This window comes from Homo sapiens, chromosome 11, assembly GCF_000001405.40.
Source record: "Homo sapiens chromosome 11, GRCh38.p14 Primary Assembly".
NCBI lineage: Eukaryota > Metazoa > Chordata > Mammalia > Primates > Hominidae > Homo > Homo sapiens.
Genome location: NC_000011.10, coordinates 132,201,768 through 132,219,476, shown reverse-complemented (window position 1 = coordinate 132,219,476; position 17,709 = coordinate 132,201,768). Strand labels below are relative to the sequence as shown.

The 17,709-nt window shown below is 43.9% G+C and overlaps 1 protein-coding gene across 45 annotated transcripts in view; it reads right to left on the bottom strand.

Moving 5' to 3' along the window:
• The window catches only part of NTM (neurotrimin), a 966,208-nt gene that overhangs the window by 117,346 nt on the left and 831,153 nt on the right, over nt 1-17,709 (bottom strand). For 41 of the 45 annotated variants that reach the window (NR_170352.1, NR_170351.1, NR_170346.1 and 38 more), the window contains one exon: nt 7,330-7,455. Coding sequence is in view for 19 of the 45 variants with exons in the window: in NM_001352006.2 (NP_001338935.1) it covers nt 7,330-7,455 (126 nt within the window). In the remaining 26 variants the exon portion in view is untranslated. Of the gene's footprint in view, nt 1-7,329; nt 7,456-7,617; nt 7,702-17,709 lie in introns of those variants that run through there. The other 4 variants (NR_170362.1, NR_170363.1, NR_170364.1 and 1 more) reach the window with 1 other exon arrangement.

Genomic DNA, 17,709 nt, shown 5'->3' with positions numbered 1-17,709 from the left:
GGACTGAAAACTACATCTACAGTATCAGATACTTCCTCATTCAACAATCATTTACAAGACCCCAAAACATCTGGTGCTTTATCAGACACTAAAGACAAAACAGCATTAGGGTGGTTCCTGGCTGCCATGATCCCTGGCATGACAGGAGTAGTCAGAGGCCCTTGAGTACCTGTAAGAGGTGCCATAGTTGGAAATGCACGCAAAGTGCTGTGGGATCTCAAAGAAATGGGTGAATCACTCTGCCTGAAGAAAGTCACCAGAGGCTTTCAAACTGGTAGCACTTGAGTATGGTCTTGAAACAAGGGCAGAACTCAAACCAAAAGAAGTAGGGGGGATGGAAGGAGAACAGATGGGGTGTGCAAAGTCAAAGACATCTAGTGTGTGGAGAATGCCAAGTTGTTAGTGTGACTGTGGTGTGTGGAGAAAATGGGGTCTAGAACCAAATCATGAAAACGCCAGGGTTCACGCCAAGAAGCAAGAATGAAATTAATAAAGAAGCACATCTTCAGAGAGGTTTATCACTACTCCAGCATGACCCAGCCAGTGAGTAGTGCAAGGGAATACAAATCCCCTTGGACCTGCCTTCAAAGCCTATCTCTTTCAGACACATTGCTGCCTTTGCTCATGGAAATGCAGTCATTGTTAGTAGCAGAAGCCTCAGAGAAGAGCCAGGCATTGCTTAATGCTCAGACCTGAAGGCCCAGTTCTGGTCCTGAAGCAGAAGAACGAACAAGATGGATAATTCATACTTGGCCTCAGGAAGCAGATACAGAGTGGACACACTGACTAGTCCCCCTACCTCCCTCTGGGAAGGAATAACAGAGCGAAAACTCCTTCTATTAATTGTCTCTCCTGGATTCTGATACTCTAGCAGAAGATAGGCAGGCAGCTGGCAGTGCAGGAGATACCCTAGGTAGAGAGCCTGCCCTGACAAATAGCAAAAAGACTAAGATCTCAAGTCTTGCCTTACGCCCTAGGTCCCTCTTTCCTAGAGACTTGGGCGACTTCCAGGTTTCAGAGCACAGCCAAGACTAAAGAGTTAATTTAATCACTGAGGCCCCTTCTTGGATTATTGCAAGGATTTACAGCCCATATTGATTACTGACAGGGCAACCCAACCAAAAGGAGATTCCAAGAGTTGTCTAGAATTGGCATAGATGGATTTAGAAAAACTTTTGCTTTCTCTCTTTCTCCCTTTTTCTTCTCAGTCCTTTGGTGTTGGGTGGTTGCCCTCTGTGGGTAAGGTGATATCTTTAGTTCCATTTTGCCCTCTTCTCCCCTCCCCAGCTCCTCTTTGCTGAGGAAGTCTTTCTCCTCTGCCATTCTAATGATCTCAGCGCCACACGGGGCCCCGGATGCTGGTGCTGACAGGCTGCTCATTAGTTCCAGGGTGCTGCAGTCAGCCGATGGCACGCCAGAGCTCTGCTCCTGACACTTTTTCACAGAGCTGTCACTGGAGTCATGGAACCTGCCAGCTCTGGTTGAACTCAAGCTGTGATACCTCTAGTGCCAATTAGTGCTTTAGTGTCCTGCTTGGCTAGGAGAAGGCCTTGTCAGTGCTTACAAATAGGAAAATAGGTGGATGTATGGTGGGGTGAGGATATTGGGGAAGGGGAGGGGGAGCACAGGGCTCAGGGCATTGGCCAGGAGAACTCTTATCCGGGTGTCACTTTGCCTCCATCAATTTGGTGCCTTTTAAAACTCCAGAAAAAAGAAACAGGGCAGTCAAATGTCCACTGGACCTCTTCAAGTAGAAAAGGAGAACTGAGGTGGGAAGGAAGAGATCTGGCAGCTGAGGAAGGTTACTGAGCCCTGTTGGTATGGAGAGTAGGCCACGCAGATGTACCCACTTCACGTTAGGTAAAGAGAAAGGCTTGCAGAACAAGGGCTTGGCTTGGAATCCAACAGACAGAAGGCTCTGCTCTAATTCTGCCCCCAGGGTCTTTATATCACCCTAGGGAAGATCTCTTTTGATCTCTAACCCACCTCAATTCATATATCAGGAGGCAGAGAGAAAGAAGGAAAAAGAGAGAAAGAGAGAACCTGAGAAACACACACACACACCCCACACATACACATACACATACACACACACACACACACACACACACACACACAGAAAGAGAGAGAGAGAGAGAAAGAGGCACAAGAGTGGAACTGAATTTAAAGTACTTTTCTTTTTTCTACCGATTGATTTCTTTCTTTTCCTTTTTCTTTAGTTAACCTATAAGGAATGGCAAATTTTCATATACAGTTGAAATAATCCCCCAGGTGATATCGGGATTGCCTTAGGAAATAGTGGTTGGGAGTCATCCGGGGTTTAGACACAGGAGTACTTGGTACAGCAAGGCACCAAAAGGGCCAGATGCCCACTAGAATGGCCAGATGAAGAGCAGTTGCAATGAGGCAGCCATGACAGCAGAAGGAAGCTCATGGATGACCCACTGTCCAAGTCACCTGTGAGCCTCCTCTCTTCTTGCAAAAGGAAACTTGAAAAGGAGTTTCTTCTTCAAGGACAAGTTGAGTCCTGCCACAGCAAGGTCCCCTCAAGGGGACTTCAGGAAAGGCTTGGAGATCTTGTGAAGACCAGAGAAAATGTCCTGGAGACTCGCCAGCCAGAAACACTCCAGGTCTCCATGCCAACATCAAAGTGAAGGACAACTTCTGAAGGATCAAGATAGTCTTTGAACTGGGAGAACAGGCATGCCTCTTTGGGGCATTGGCAAATATCAGTGCTTGTTCACTGAACTGACCAATATTTATTAAACACTTCCTAGGTGCTAGGCATTGTGCTAGAAGGAGAGAATCAAAGAGAAGTGAGATGCAAACTCTGATCTCAAAGAACTCATGGGACAGGGACATTGAAAATAAACTGGAAAGGAGGACATTTCTGTGAACACCTTGCAGGGCTTTGCTGAATATCCCTACCAATATCTCAGTACAACGTGTTATCTAGGTAGCCTAGATGAGGTTTTTATTGTCAGTGTCTTGTTTGATGACAGAAAGGTGAAGGTAAGTGCACCCAAGATGGGAGCTCCATTAGGACACTCAGTGATCCCTGGCTGCAAATGGATAGTGACACCCACAGATAAGTGATGAGACTCACTCCCTCACCTGAGTTTCATTTTGGGCTCTCAGGAATGTGGCAATGTAGGAATCCTAGACTTGTCTTTAAAGCTCTTACAATCCAACTGAAACTGGTAACATAACAATAAGGCTTTCAGAATGCTTTTCTATGAAGAGTGAGGTCCAACACAGCATCTTTTGGAGTATATTGAAAGAGATCATGCTTCTATTTACATAGTGAAGACTCAGGAGAACCAGACAGCATGAACGTTTTTCTATTGGAGACAGAAAGCTGAGAGTTTAAGGGATGTGCTAAAAAACACATTCTTGAAGGTCTAGATGTAGACAAAGGGCAAAGCACAGAGTCATGACACCAGGCACAGTGGGCAGTTGGCTGCCCTGTTCCTTTTTTCTACCTACAGAAGGTTAGGGTTCCACCAACGGTGCCTGTGCACCTAGTACCCTATGCTAGCACTTAGAAGGACTCCGGCTTGGGGTCAATAAGCCTTCATGTGGATGGAGATGGCTCCTGCTAGTGAGAGGAGTGAGATGGGGGCTCTTCCTCCTGAAAAGACCAAGGTCTCTGCAGATGCAAACAACATCGGCCCATCTCAAACCAGTTGTGCAGAGTCAGGGCAGGAATCTTTAAAAAGCTAGCTCACTTTCTCTTTGAATTCTGATAAATTCCTGAAGGGAACTACAAAGGCATAATGCCCATAATAATATACGGAAATTATTCAAACAATCAATGGAAGTGCCAAGAGGTGGCCTTGGAGGTCCTACCTCCCTCTCTGTACTGGACATGCACAACTGACATTTTCTCTATCTGATATAAAGTGCTACACAGGGCCCTCCATCTCCGTTTCCACCTGATGGTCACTCCTAAGCTGCCCCTATATCAAAGTGTATGAGCCACGTCTAAAATAGTCCTTAACATTTCTGTACTCCTTTCCACACAAGGTAGTCAAGACTAGAAATGCACAATTTAAAGAGGTTTATATAAGTTTATCGCAAGCAGCACCACATAAGTGATAATGAAGGAAACAAGGACTTTTAAGAAATGTACAGAACAAACAGATCAGTCTGGAGAGAAAAAATGCAATGAAGTCATCAGGGTTGCTGAAAGAGCTTAGCCCTGATCAGCTGTTCATCCAGGGATTTGGCAGGTTCGCATGTAAGAAAGATCTTGATGGAACTGTGATCTACCCTCGAAGAATGACACAAAAGATGACAACAGCGCTCTTTCTTTGGAGCCTCCGCTAAGGTGCAGATCTTCTTCTCCAAGGAACACCAAGCCCATCCTGGTTTATTTAGAATAAGCCTCCTTTAGGAAATACTACTGGGGAAAGATGAAGGCCTGACTGTTGAGGGTCTCCAGCTTCAGTTCATATTGGGCAGCAGCCAAGTGACATCTCTGATCTCCAAATAATCAGTCACTGGGAAATGGCACTCTGGTGAGTTCTGAGGTGATTAGTTATTGCTTGGCATGTCTCATCATTTTGAATCCGGGATAACTAAACTGGACCTGAGATCTGGAAAACACTGTTCATGTAAATTAATCCACAGGTACATTCTGATTGTCCTGCTCCTCTTTCCTTGCTCCATCTTCTGTTTCCATAGCAGCTAAAACCTCAGTAAAATGGGACACCTGGCCCAGGCTCAGGCAAAAGTTCCCTTGGGAAATGAATCTGTTCGATGGTCACAAAAGGGGAAACAAAAGACTCTAACACACAGCCTTGTGAACATCAGCCAGGCAAACCCAAGAGGCTCAAATGTCAGAGGGGAAGACAACAAACAATTGCAAGGAGGGAAGAGAGAATGTGGAAAATAATGAAATTAAAGCAGAAACATTTCAGACGCTGCAAGAGAAAGCCAAAGCATAGAACAACAACAAAAATAACTTATCGGGAAGTTATAGGCATAAAATGGCAGGACAAAAAGGAGACGCATGCAGGAGAAGTGGGGGAAGAAACACCCAGAAAAGGACAAAGAACTGGCCAGATGAGGGAATGAGAAGAGACATCAAACAGAAGACAGAGCCTCTTGACATCAGGCACAGGAAGCTTACCCTGATGATAAATGTTCTGCAGACTCCAAAGGCACAGACTGGGCTGGCATCCGCCAGCACTGGGGACTCACATCAGGCTGTGATGAATGGTGCACACCGCGGACTTAGCATGCACCTGTCTGAATGGCCCCTCCTTCAGAAGGGCCCAGGGCCATTTTCCATCACTAATGATCTCATGCACAGCTGAAGCTTCCTCCCTGATTTTGGGCCAGTCCACATGTGAGGTCATTTCAAATGGAGAGACTGGCAGACACATGAATAGCTTTCAAAGACCCCTTGTTCACAGTTACAGTGTCAAGAATGGTGGCCCGCCGGGCGCGGTGGCTCACGCCTGTAATCCCAGCACTTTGGGAGGCCGAGGCGGGCGGATCACGAGGTCAGGAGATCGAGACCATCCCAGCTAAAACGGTGAAACCCCGTCTCTACTAAAAATACAAAAAATTAGCCGGGCGTAGTGGCGGGCGCCTGTAGTCCCAGCTACTTGGGAGGCTGAGGCGGGAGAATGGCGTGAACCCGGGAGGCGGAGCTTGCAGTGAGCCGAGATCCCGCCACTGCACTCCAGCCTGGGCGACAGAGCGAGACTCCGTCTCAAAAAAAAAAAAAAAAAAAAAAGAATGGTGGCCCAGGACAGCTCCCAGGAATTCAGGCCACACACAACTGAAAATGTCACGCCTTCTCTGAGAACATCCATTAGGGCCAACTGTCACTGTCTAGAATTTGGTACTTGGGGCCCCTTCATAGTCTTACTCTGATTTATTAAAATGTTGAAGTATAGTGGACACTGTCATGCACAGTCACCTTCAGGAGCAGAGGACTTATGCCTCACAGAAGGACCGGCTGCTGGTGGATAGCCCTCGGTGGTCAGCCCCCTGTGTCTCATGTGAAGAGAGATGCCTGGCCCACAGTCACACCTGTTTGGGGATCAGCCTACATTTGGACTGCTGTGCCGATGTAGAGGACCAGCTCCATCACCTCAATAAGGGAACCTTCTGAAGGGCAATCCTAGCTTCAGAGCTCCCCGTAGGCTCAGCCGAGATGTCCTACTGCACAAGCCAGCTTCTAACCTGCCCAATTCTGTTTCCCACTTTTCCCTTCCATGGGAGTTGAGACCAAAAGCACCCCCTAATATGCGTCTTTCATGCCAATCACACACCTTCATCCATCTGTGCACACCGGCACATATATACATACATAATCACATACACACATTTCACATTAATCAGCAATAAGCAACACAATTAAGGACCACTGTTCATGTCTCTGCACAAATATCTTCTTTTCAGAGCCCTTCTCTGAAGAAAGCTCTTGTCATTCTGTCAACACATCCTGTTCTATTTTCTCACCCTTAATACCACCTGTTATATTGCATACTCTTTTTTTTTTTGTCATCTGTCTCATGAGAATGTGAGTTCATGAGTGTGAAAACTTCACCGCTTTGGCTTATTGCTGTAACCCCCAGTGCCTAGAAGAGAGGCTGGACTATTACAAGCACTCAATAAATATTTAAGAATGAAATATTTTTATCTTTCTTGTTCCCAAATAAAAGCTAGCTTAATAATAAATGACATCTTGTCTCAAATTCTAAAGGTTTTAATGTACAATCCATGAAAGCACAAAACAACACTTTGGTCTACGTAACATCTGAGCATTCAGATAAAGTAAATTTTTGCAATTTAGTCACATATTAAGTTATATTTGTTCTCTAGGATCAATCGGAGTAAAACAACAACAAAACCACAAAAACAGCTCGTGACCAGATTTTTGGCAAGGCTGCAGAGGCACAGACTTGGAGAATCTCCTTTTAGGAATATGGCCATTTAAAGCTCTCACCCATCATTATGTGTTTTCTCTATTTTAAAACAACCAGCTGAACAATTGCCACTAAAGCTTTGTTCCATCATCAAACAACATGTAAAGTTCACCCAGAACACCTTACCACCATTTCACCCAGAGACAACAGAGATTAATTTCCAAGGGACTGGAGAGATACTGAGGTATGAATTCTGAAATCTTAGAGGGTATGGCTGTTTTGCAGAGAACATCAACGTTCTCTGCAGAGCCATGAGTAGATTACCATCAAGCCACCAAAAACGTAGACTCCTCTGGAGTAGGTATCAGCACCCATAACCTCCTACCAAAGGCCCAAAATTCCCCCATTTATCCTCATGATGCAATGCAACAAACTGTTCTCTTACCTTTGGGAGAGATGTGTCTCCAAGTAACCGTAGGCTCTGGTCTACCAGTTGCTATGCAGGTGAGGCTAATATTGTTCCCTTCATTAATGGAGATATCTGAAGAAATCTCTACAATTTTGGGAGATACTGTGGAAACAAGACAGAATGAAAATAAAAATCCTCCTGAAACATTTCTTAGTTGTCTTAACATGGTAGTTGGCAGAACAGTCCAGAGAGTAAAATATATGGACTACAGTAAGTTAACGATAAGAAATTAGAGGAATTACCTTAAACATAAAAAAGTCTTACCTTTAATTTAGCTTTGATTTCCTCCTATTTAAACACAAAGTCAGGGAGTCCGAATGGGAATAAATTCTACTGCAACACTGGAATAGCTGTTCTCCTAGCCTCCACCCTCTTCCTGTATCCACTCACCCCCACCCACCTCCAACACATATCCACGAGCCATCCTCCACACTGCATTCAGCGATGTCTTGAAAGAATGCAATTCTGATCATATCACATCTCTGTCTAAACAGCTCCAGTGGCTCCCCATGGCCACCTGGTCATAGCCTGACTCCTTCTAGGCATGAGGCCATGCAGAATCAAGCATCAGCCCACCTTTCCATGGCCATCCCCAGTGATCCCACCTCTGCTGACTCCCTTGTTCTCCATCATGCCCTGTCTGGGCATAAAGTATTTGGGTTCATATTGTTCCTTTTATCCTTCCTGGGCAACTCCCAGCCATTCTCGTTTTCATTTTTATTTTGAGACAGGGTTTCACTTTGTCACCCAGGCTGGAGTGCAGTGGTGCAAATATGGCTCACTGAAGCCTTGACCTCCCATGCTCAAACAATCCCACCTCAGTCCAAGTAGCTGGGACTGCAGGCATGTGCCGCCATTCCTTGTTAATGTTTATGTTTATTCTTGTAGAGACAAGGTTTTGCCATGTGCCCAGACTGGTCTCAAACTCCTGAGCTCAAGCAATTCACCAGCCTCAGCCTATCAAAGTGCACGCGCAGCCATCCTTAAGGCCCAAAGCAAATGCCACTTTCTTTGTTGAAACTTTCCCTACCCTCTATACTTCTCTGCCCTTTTGGACATCTCAAATTGACTGCTGCTTCTTCATCCATGTGCCCAGAGCACATTCTACACACCTGGTGGGGAATCAAATTAAGCCTCAGTTAGCCATAACATCTCTCTCTCTCTCTCCCCCACCTTCTTTCTCCACTAAATGACTCCCCCTAGGGAGAGAAGGGGTTCATTCTAATAGGTAAAGTTGGAGACAGGATGTCTACTTCCTTTGGTCTTCTATTTTGGAACCTTCTGAAGCTTATATTATGTTGTGCTCCTCCATGTGCTTATTTTCAGAAGCAGCACCCACAAGGACTGGATAGGGCCTGTGGAACATCCAGCCATTGCATGTGTGTGCGTTTCTTTCCGGGGTCCAGTCGTAGAACCTCATTGTTGCTGCACATCTGAGCCTAATTCTCCAGTCTCAGCTTTACCACTAGTAAACATGTGATATTTGGTTCCATGTGTCTACTTATCTGTCTTATGTGTTTTAACATTCAAGTGGATGGAGTAAAGATGTCATTTACTGAGCTCCCACACTCCAATTCTAGACAGTTATTTCACTATGCTATGGTTATGTGCTTAGCATCACCCACTAGGCCATGAGCTTTCTGATGACCTGAACAATGTGTTACTTATATCTGTATCCACGCTAAGAGCTCAACAAATATTTACAGAATTGAGTGATAATGGTTATTCAAGGGAACCACCTTCCCAACCTGTGTGCAACGTGTCCATACCAACCTCAGAGTTGGGTCATTGGCAGATATTCTTTCAACCCTCCTGATGCTGGTTTTGACTTCTTAGTTCTTGGCAAGTTAAGTGTCCCCTCCATCCAGCACTCTTCTGTTTCTTCATGTTATATTCTTTCCTTGAATAACTATTCCTCAGAGCCACCATGCTGTGCAATTCTAAAGCACACCATCCACCTGGCTTACAATGTGATCGGGCCTGCCGGAGAGCCCAGGGAAGCTGCACGATGACTTTATTGCTTGTTGCGAGGTCAGAGTGGGGCCCTCACACTAAAATCAGATGGGTTTGCAAATTTTAATGCTGGTCTTGCCTCTACTTGAACCATTACTCACTCATTCCTAGTTGTGTTGGATCTTTTCCTTCATGAAAAGGGAGTTTATAAAGATATCTTAGCCTTCTTCCCCTTCTCTCCTTCTCCAGTGTTACCTTCCATGTATGTCCTGCATCCACCCAATTGAAATGCTCATCATTAATAAGCGTGTGCTGTACTTATCTGTGCTGCACTGAGCTATCTCCTTATCCCCATGCCCTTGTTGCTGACTTCAGTGCTTACACTCTTCTCTGTGCCTATCCACATCTATTAAAATTGTTCAAGGCCTGAGAGAATTACCACCCCTTTAATAAGGCTGTCCAGATGAACCTGAAGAGGATGTGACCTCTCCTTCCTGGGGATTCCACAGCACTGTAGTGTCTCCTATACGGCATTTAAAGTAAACTTTTATGTAACATGTTCCCACCTTTCCTTTTATACTATAAATTACATTAATATAAGATATTTGAAAAGATCCTCATTTAACTTTTTAGTTTTTTGCTGTCCTAAATAGGGTATGTTACACAGAGTAAGCAACAGTTAATCATTTTTAGATTTCCATCCTCATTGAGCTTCAGATAGGCAGCGTGTGTGTCTCTGCATATGCATGCACACACACACACATACACATACACACTCAATTGCACTCCCATAAGCATTTGGTGGGACAGAAATAATGGAGAGTGGACATGGACAAGGGTTGGAGGAGAGAGAATGCTAGCTCTATAATCTGGGACTTTTAAGATGTAACAATGCCATTTATGGTTATATCATTTTAAAAGCTACATGGAGCCTTCCAGGACAGAAAGGTAACTGATGAGTTAATGACTGAGCATTTGATTTGCTGACTGCCTGAAGGGTACAAGCTTCTAAATTCTCTTAGTTCTGGAATCATTTAAATTGATCATTGCAAAAATAGACACTTTGATGTGTTTTATTCAGAGTTTTAACTAGAGCATTCCCATCTCATGCACCAGCCACCTCCTTCCCCCACCCCCCAACACCAACCCATACGTTTGCTGGTCCCTGTCCCTGCTCACTCTTAGCACCCACACAGCCTTGCTTGCTTCCTGGAGGACAGGCTGCCTGCAGAATGTCTGTGCTGGCCTTGCAGACGTTGCTTCAACTGTGCAGGTAAGTAATTTATTGATCTGTAAAGCACTCCGAGATGCTCTGCAAGGGATTATGTCACGCCAATGCCATGCAATAAAATAAAAAATGATGGACTTTGTGAACACAGGGTGATTTAGGGTTTGTAGTTGGAAGTGTGCTTAAAGTACATTTTAAGTGGAAATCAGGCCGGGTAATGAATTACTCTTGCTTTGGAAGGGCTTACTGTGAGTTCATTTTCCTGGCTTCCTGCATGATAGGTAATCTGCTAATCATACACTAGAGAACAATGGACAGTCCCCAAGCAGGACAGAAGGTGGTTTGGGCCAGAGCTGTCAGTGCAGTAAGTATATTAAATGAGACAATCGCACCTCATGCTTGGAAGAATCATCTAGAATTGTCTCCCCCCACTAATAATTGGAAAATATCCAACTCATGAGGTAGAAGTTGAGAAGTGCTTGCTGTCCTTTAAATTCTGCCTAAGAATACAGTTTGAAGGAGGCAAATTGCCCTTGGGTGAGTGAGAAAGACAGATCATTCATGGCATAGAGATGAGGTGGTTTGACTAGGGGAGCAATCCCAATTATCAGAAACAAATTGGCATATGCCTAAGATGCTAAGGGAGTCAAAATATGATTTTCTAGGTGGCAACTTCTAGTACATTGTCAGTATTCAAGACTACTTGAATTGATTAGGGTGCACTGTGGTTTTAGCTAAGCCATCCTCATAAGGAAGCTTCTGACCAAGTGTGAGATAGGGCTACTTATATTTTTATATTGTTTCCATGGATACATTCTATATCTGACTTCTCATCACTCAGACTGTTAGAAACATACTAGGATTGTTTTGCTTATTTTCATTCATTCACTCCTTCTTCAATATTCATTGATCACTTTCCATATGCCAGCATTGTGCCAAGCATTAGAGACATAAACTAAATAAGATACCATCCTTTTCCTCAAGGAGTTCACAGCCTCAAGATATCAAAATAGATGCAGAAGCCTAATATTCTAATGTATGGTGACACAGAATGGTGAATCACGTGTTATGGAGACACAGAGGATATACATCTAAGCCAACCTTGACATGGATGCCACAAGAGGCTTCTTAGATATGTGATGCCTAAGTTAAGCCCTAGGAGTAAGTAAAAATTAATCATATCTGGAGAGAAAAGGAGGAAAGATATCCTAGGCAAAGGAGACAACATAAGGCAAGCACTATCAGTAAGACATTTTGTGGCCAGGCACAACTGTTAATGGAAGAAGTCTACTTTAGAGGAGTAGTCCCCAACCTTGTTGGCACCAGGGACAGGTTTCATGGAAGATAATTTTTTCCATGAACTGGGGATGCGGGAAGGAATGGTTTCAGGATGATTCAAGCACATTACATTTATTATGCATTGTATTTATATTATTATTACATTGTAATGTTGTAACATATAATGAAATAATTATACAACTCACCATAATGTAGGATCAGTGGAAACCCTGAACTTGTTTTCCTGCAACTAGGGGGTCCCATCTGGGGGTGATGGGAGATAGTGACAGATCATCAGGCATTAGATTTTCACAAGGAGTGCACGACCTAGATCCCTCGCATGGGCAGTTCACAATAAGGGTTCGTGCTCCTACCTAATGCTGCCACTGATCTGACAGGAGGCAGAGCTCAGGCGGTATTGCCAGCAATGGGGAGTGGCTGTAAATACAAAAGAAGCTTCACTCACTCACCCACCAGCTGCTCACCTCCTGCTGTGTGGCCTGGTTCCTAACAGGCCACAGAGCAGTATCGGTATGTGGCCTGAGGTTTGGAGACCCTTGCTTTAGAAGCTGGGCCAAAAGTCATCCAATGAACATTTTGTGAACACCTACTGTTACACAATGGTGTGCTAGGTATATGAAAGACATGCAGACATATACCAATTTGCCTGGCCCTCTATGAACTTACAATCTGTTTGAGGAAACAGGGCATGTAAACATTCCAGAGAGTTGAATAACAAGGCAAAATATGTTGGAAAATTGTGTATGATTGAATGTGAATGAACAGTACAAACTTTAAGTGCTATGAGTTACTAGGAGGGAGGATAACAGCTAGAGAGAGTTCCAGAGATGGCTTCACCTCAAATTGGAGTTTATTTTAGGTCTCAACAAATGAGAAACAGGTATCTAGGCAGAAAAAGTGAAGCTGTTTCAAATGGGACAGAATTGCATGGGCACAGATGGGAAGGCAGAAATCCACAAACTGAAGAAATACAATGTCTATTGACTACAAGAGGCAACGCAGAGCAGGGGCTGAGATCCGGCTCTACTATGTTCTAACTGGGCAACCTTGGCCAAGTTACTTCACCTGCCTGTGTCTTGCTCTCCACATTTATAAAATGGAGCTAATAACTGTCTGAACCTCATAAAGACTGTTTCAAAGACATAGGAGTAAGTTATGAAATGCATTGAGAACAGTTTCTGGCAATGTGAAGTGCTCAATGAGTGAGTTTTAATATTGTATGTGCTTGGCAAACACATATATGCAGTGTCAACACAGAATGGACAGTCCATAAATTTTGACAGAATCAATGAAAAATGGGATACAAGATCATGAAGTGAATGACAGCCAGATGATGGAAGGGCGTGAATGCCTAGTGCCTAGGTTTTAGCTCTATCCTACAGGCAGTGACAAGCATTTGAAGTTTTTTAAAAGAAATGTCGTAATTTTTTAAAAATTTATTTTAAGAAAAAGAATCTGTTAACATTGTGTCAGATGGAGTAAAATAGACAGAAACTGGAGTCACAGAAATCAATCGACAGTGATGTTCAAAGCCTGGATTAAACTGTTGGCTCTGAAAAGATGAAAAGCAAGGGATGGATTGGAGAGCCATGCCCAGGAAAAATGCACAAATGGTTGCTAGGAGGACAACCAGGGAGATGGGGTCGAGCAGGAATGCCGTTCTGTTAAGTAGCATCTGGACGGCTGCACAGGGAGACCCCTAGACCTTCTAGGGGGAACTACTTTTGGGGAGAACATTAGTGTGATTAATTCTATCTTAGACTTGCTGATGGTGAGATGATGAGGGACATCCAGGAAGAATATTACTATTATGTTAGCAGTTGGAATCAGAGGATCGGAGGTCTGGGCAAGATCCCAGTTTGAGAATCCACATGAAAGGTAAAGAGCAGAGGGGTAAGAACTGACGTGCCAATAGTAAATTAGACCTGCTATGAGTGGAAGAGTCCTTTGAAAAGGTCATTGGCTTTTACCCACAGGCATGTATGTGGTGCCTCCTGGCTTCTGAGAGCTGAATCTAGAAAATATACCAATTATAGAAACCGAAAGACCAAGGAGTGGTTAGGGTATGTTTAGGAAGAAAGACAGAAGCCAAGGGAGCCATGCTGTTTGGATACAGTTCCATGTTTAATACATTAGGTTAATGTTTAATCCGGCTCTTATTGAATTTTAATTCAAATGTGTAAATAATTAAATAAGATAATTATTAAAACAGTATTCTGAGGAACTTCCCTACTCTTGGTTTAGCTTCCACTGCCCAGGTGTTGAGTTTTAATAATTATGTCATTAATAAATAGCAATTTGCTGTTTTTAGCACACAGTGGATATCCTATTAAATCCAAATCAGGATGCTTTATGAAGCACTGTGCAGTCCTGTGGGGCTGAGAATGCACATAAGCCACTTGGACCAGGTAACTGCACGGCGCATGCAGATCTACAGATCCCAGATGGCTTCCTTGGCTGGCAGTGGGGGTTCCCCTCCTGCCTCTCCTCTATCTTGAAGACTGGAGATGCCCGCATCTCCTCCGGGCAGTTCTCACAGCAAGGGCTGCTTCACTGCTAAGGCCTCTTTAGGGACCTTTGTCTTTACAGAATTAATGGGACAAATCTGGAGTGCTCTTAACCTTTCTGGCTTCCAGACCACGTGCAGAGACACTAAGGCCTATGAGAACAGCCTGGTGCATGAATGTCCAACCCAGATTGGAAAGCTTGGAAAGATGCAACCAAGCAGGTGTTGGTTTTGAGAAAAATCCATCTTTTCCCAAGGGCCACTGTGTACCCAAGCGAAGCCTAGGCACAGTTGAGTGGTTCAGGTGGGATTCAGGCTGTGGCAAATGTGCTTGGTTAGGACCTCCCTTCTCTCATCCACACTGAACGGAGAGATGAATCTGTCATGGAGCATGAAGGCAAACTCCTTCTTTGGTCTCAAAGGCCTTGCACACTCTGGATGCCGCCTCCCTCTCCATGCTCTTCCCACAGCATTCTCCCTTCCTCACCCTGCTGGCCACCTGTCCTCTTCAAATGCCTCAAGCCCACCTTTGACTCCATCCTTCACACTTGCCTTTCTCCTGCTACTCACATTGGTTCTGTCTAATTATTTCAATTTCAGCTCCTCACAGAAGGCTTCCTCAAACCCCCTTTCTACAAGAGAACCCCCAGCCTGCCTGGCTTGCTACACAACTGTCTGCCTCTCCTAAGTACAATGTAAGCTCCACTGGTGTCTCGTTCATTGAAAATGGTCATCACATATCATAATGCCTGGCATCGTTTGTGTTCAACAATTTTTCTGAGTGAATGAATTACTGTATTCTCTCAAGGCTGTATGCAAATGCAAACAAATTGAAATGACTGAATTTCCTCAAGATCTTTAAATTGCCCCCAAGGACTGTAAGTGAACATAATGATGTTGATAATTACCATTTATTAAATACCTGCTGTATAACAGGTGTTTGGCTATATTACCTTTATTTTATTTTTCACTGTATGAACCCCACAAATAGATATTCTCTCTAAGGCAACCAACTGCCCAGGTCTACCTGGAATTGGAGAGTTTCTTGAGACATAAAACTTTCACTGCTGAAACCAAAAGCATTTCAGGCAAATGGGGATGCATTGGTCATCCTAATTAGTTCCCACACTTTACAGATGAGGATACCGATACTCAGAGGAGTCAAGGAACTTGTTCAAGGACATACAGCTGAAAATTGCAGTGTTTTTTTTTTGTTGTTGTTGCTGTTTTTTGTTTTTTGAGATGGAGTCTCATTCTATTGCTCAGGCTGGAGTGCAGTGGTGCGATCTAGGCTCACTGCAAGCTCCACCTCCCAGGTTCATGCCATTCTCCTGCCTCAGCCTCCCGAGTAGCTGGGACTACAGGCACCTGAAACCAAGCCCAGCTAATTTTTGTGTGTGTGTTATTTTTAGTAGAGACAGGGTTTCACCGTGTTAGCCAGGATGGTCTCGATCTCCTGACCTCGTGATCTGCCCGCCTCAGCCTCCCAAAGTGCTGGGATTACAGGCATGTGCCACCGCGCAGTGTTTTTTCAAATGGAAATAATATGGGTTAGAAAAATAACAAACGCACATGGAATCATGGGAATATACATGAAGATCCCTAAGGTCTCTTTTGATAAAAAAAGAACCCTAAGCTTCATATCAGAAGCCGAGGTTTTAAGCCCACACCCCACAGTTACTAGCTGTATAAGTGCATGGCAATCATTAGAGTCTCTGATTGTATTCATTATATATCAACACCTATCTTTTCTCCTCAAAATAGATGTTCTGTGGATCAGATTAAAATGTTAAGAAATCACTTTTTATACATAAAGCATTAATCAAATGTCCTTTCTTAGTGTTACTAAAAATGTGTACCTGTAGAGACCAATACGAAGAGAAATAGAGATTTTTAGTGCAGTAGGGGGCTGTTTTGGTTTGGACATTGGGATGCACCACACGCCCTGCTGATGTGCTCAAGGTTTGAGGATAAACAGCATCTTTAAATGAGGACTCAGGCCCCAGGCCAGGGTGCGCTGTGCAACAGGACCCCATTCTTTTGTCAGCAATGCGCTTGCTGCCATCATTTTCAAGAACGGAAGGGTCAGATTACAGTCAATCAGAATTCCAAATGAGAGCTTGAAAATGTAGAAAGCTCCTTAATGGCATAACCTCAGTGGATTATTATTCTCTTCACCAGAACCCTTTTGTCATTTGTTACATCTCATTCCTTCTCTCGCCCTCCATAGTAAAACCATTCATGTTGGCTAGAAAACCCTGAAGCTCTAGGAAAAAAACCTAGTGATTTTTTCAGGATTAGTCATAAACCAGTGCTTCTGAAGATTGGAACTTGTTCCTTTCAGGATCAACTGAAATGTGGAAGGAAGTCTTTATGAGCTCTGCCTCTTGACCGAGTTTTAGTCATTCCTGATGGAGACATAAGAGAGTGCAGTCCATACCATTCTTTCCTTATTCCATGCCTCTTGGCTTCGGGGCATAATGGTAAAAATTGAATTTCACAGCAACTACCTGTAATCATAAGTGCCCTATTATGTGGGTCACATCTAAGAAATTACTAAGAAGTGTCTCTTCATCAATTTTTTAACATGGAAACATAAGGGGTGTATCAGTGATCATGATGTGGACCTGCCATCCAGACAGGGCCATCTGTTTCCCAGCTGTGCGTGTTTTCCATGTATGGCAGTGCATGCTTTGGGTTGGGGCTATATGACTGGCTTTATTGCCCTTCACCACCAGGCCTCTCTCTTTAGGGACCAGTTCACGAAGGGAGGATAGATGGGGTGGGAAGAAAAGAAACACCAAACACCTTCTATTCCGAGCACTTTGCCAGGTGTTCCACATTTGCTGCTCCCTTGTAAATCCTCACCGTAACTCCTAAGGCATGATTCCCCACCGTGTAGTCGAGAAACTGAAGCTTGGAGAGGTTACACAAGTAACCCAAAACCATCATGGAGAATGTCAGACACACTGCAGATTCTCTAATAAGGTGTCCCTGAAAACTGACAGCCAAAATGTATACAAGCAAAAGATCCTCAAAACGTGAAATAACGTCACAATGAGAAAGGAATCAATTAATCTAATTCATTACATAATTTCGTGAGGAAGAGAACAGAAGTAAAAACAGAGGAAATATGACTTTTTAATATTATTCCTCATGGGAGAAAACTAATATTTGTTGAAGACCTAATAAGGGCTTCCCATATACTCTCCCTTTTCATCCAGGAATCTGAGGTTTTACCCTGCTAATGATGTGCTCGAAGCCACTGAGCTAGAAAGTGGCTGTTCTCAGACCCAAGCTCTTCCTACAGGGATTTGGGATCCAATAAAATATGTAGGTATAATTGAAAGCACTTAGTGAATTACTAATC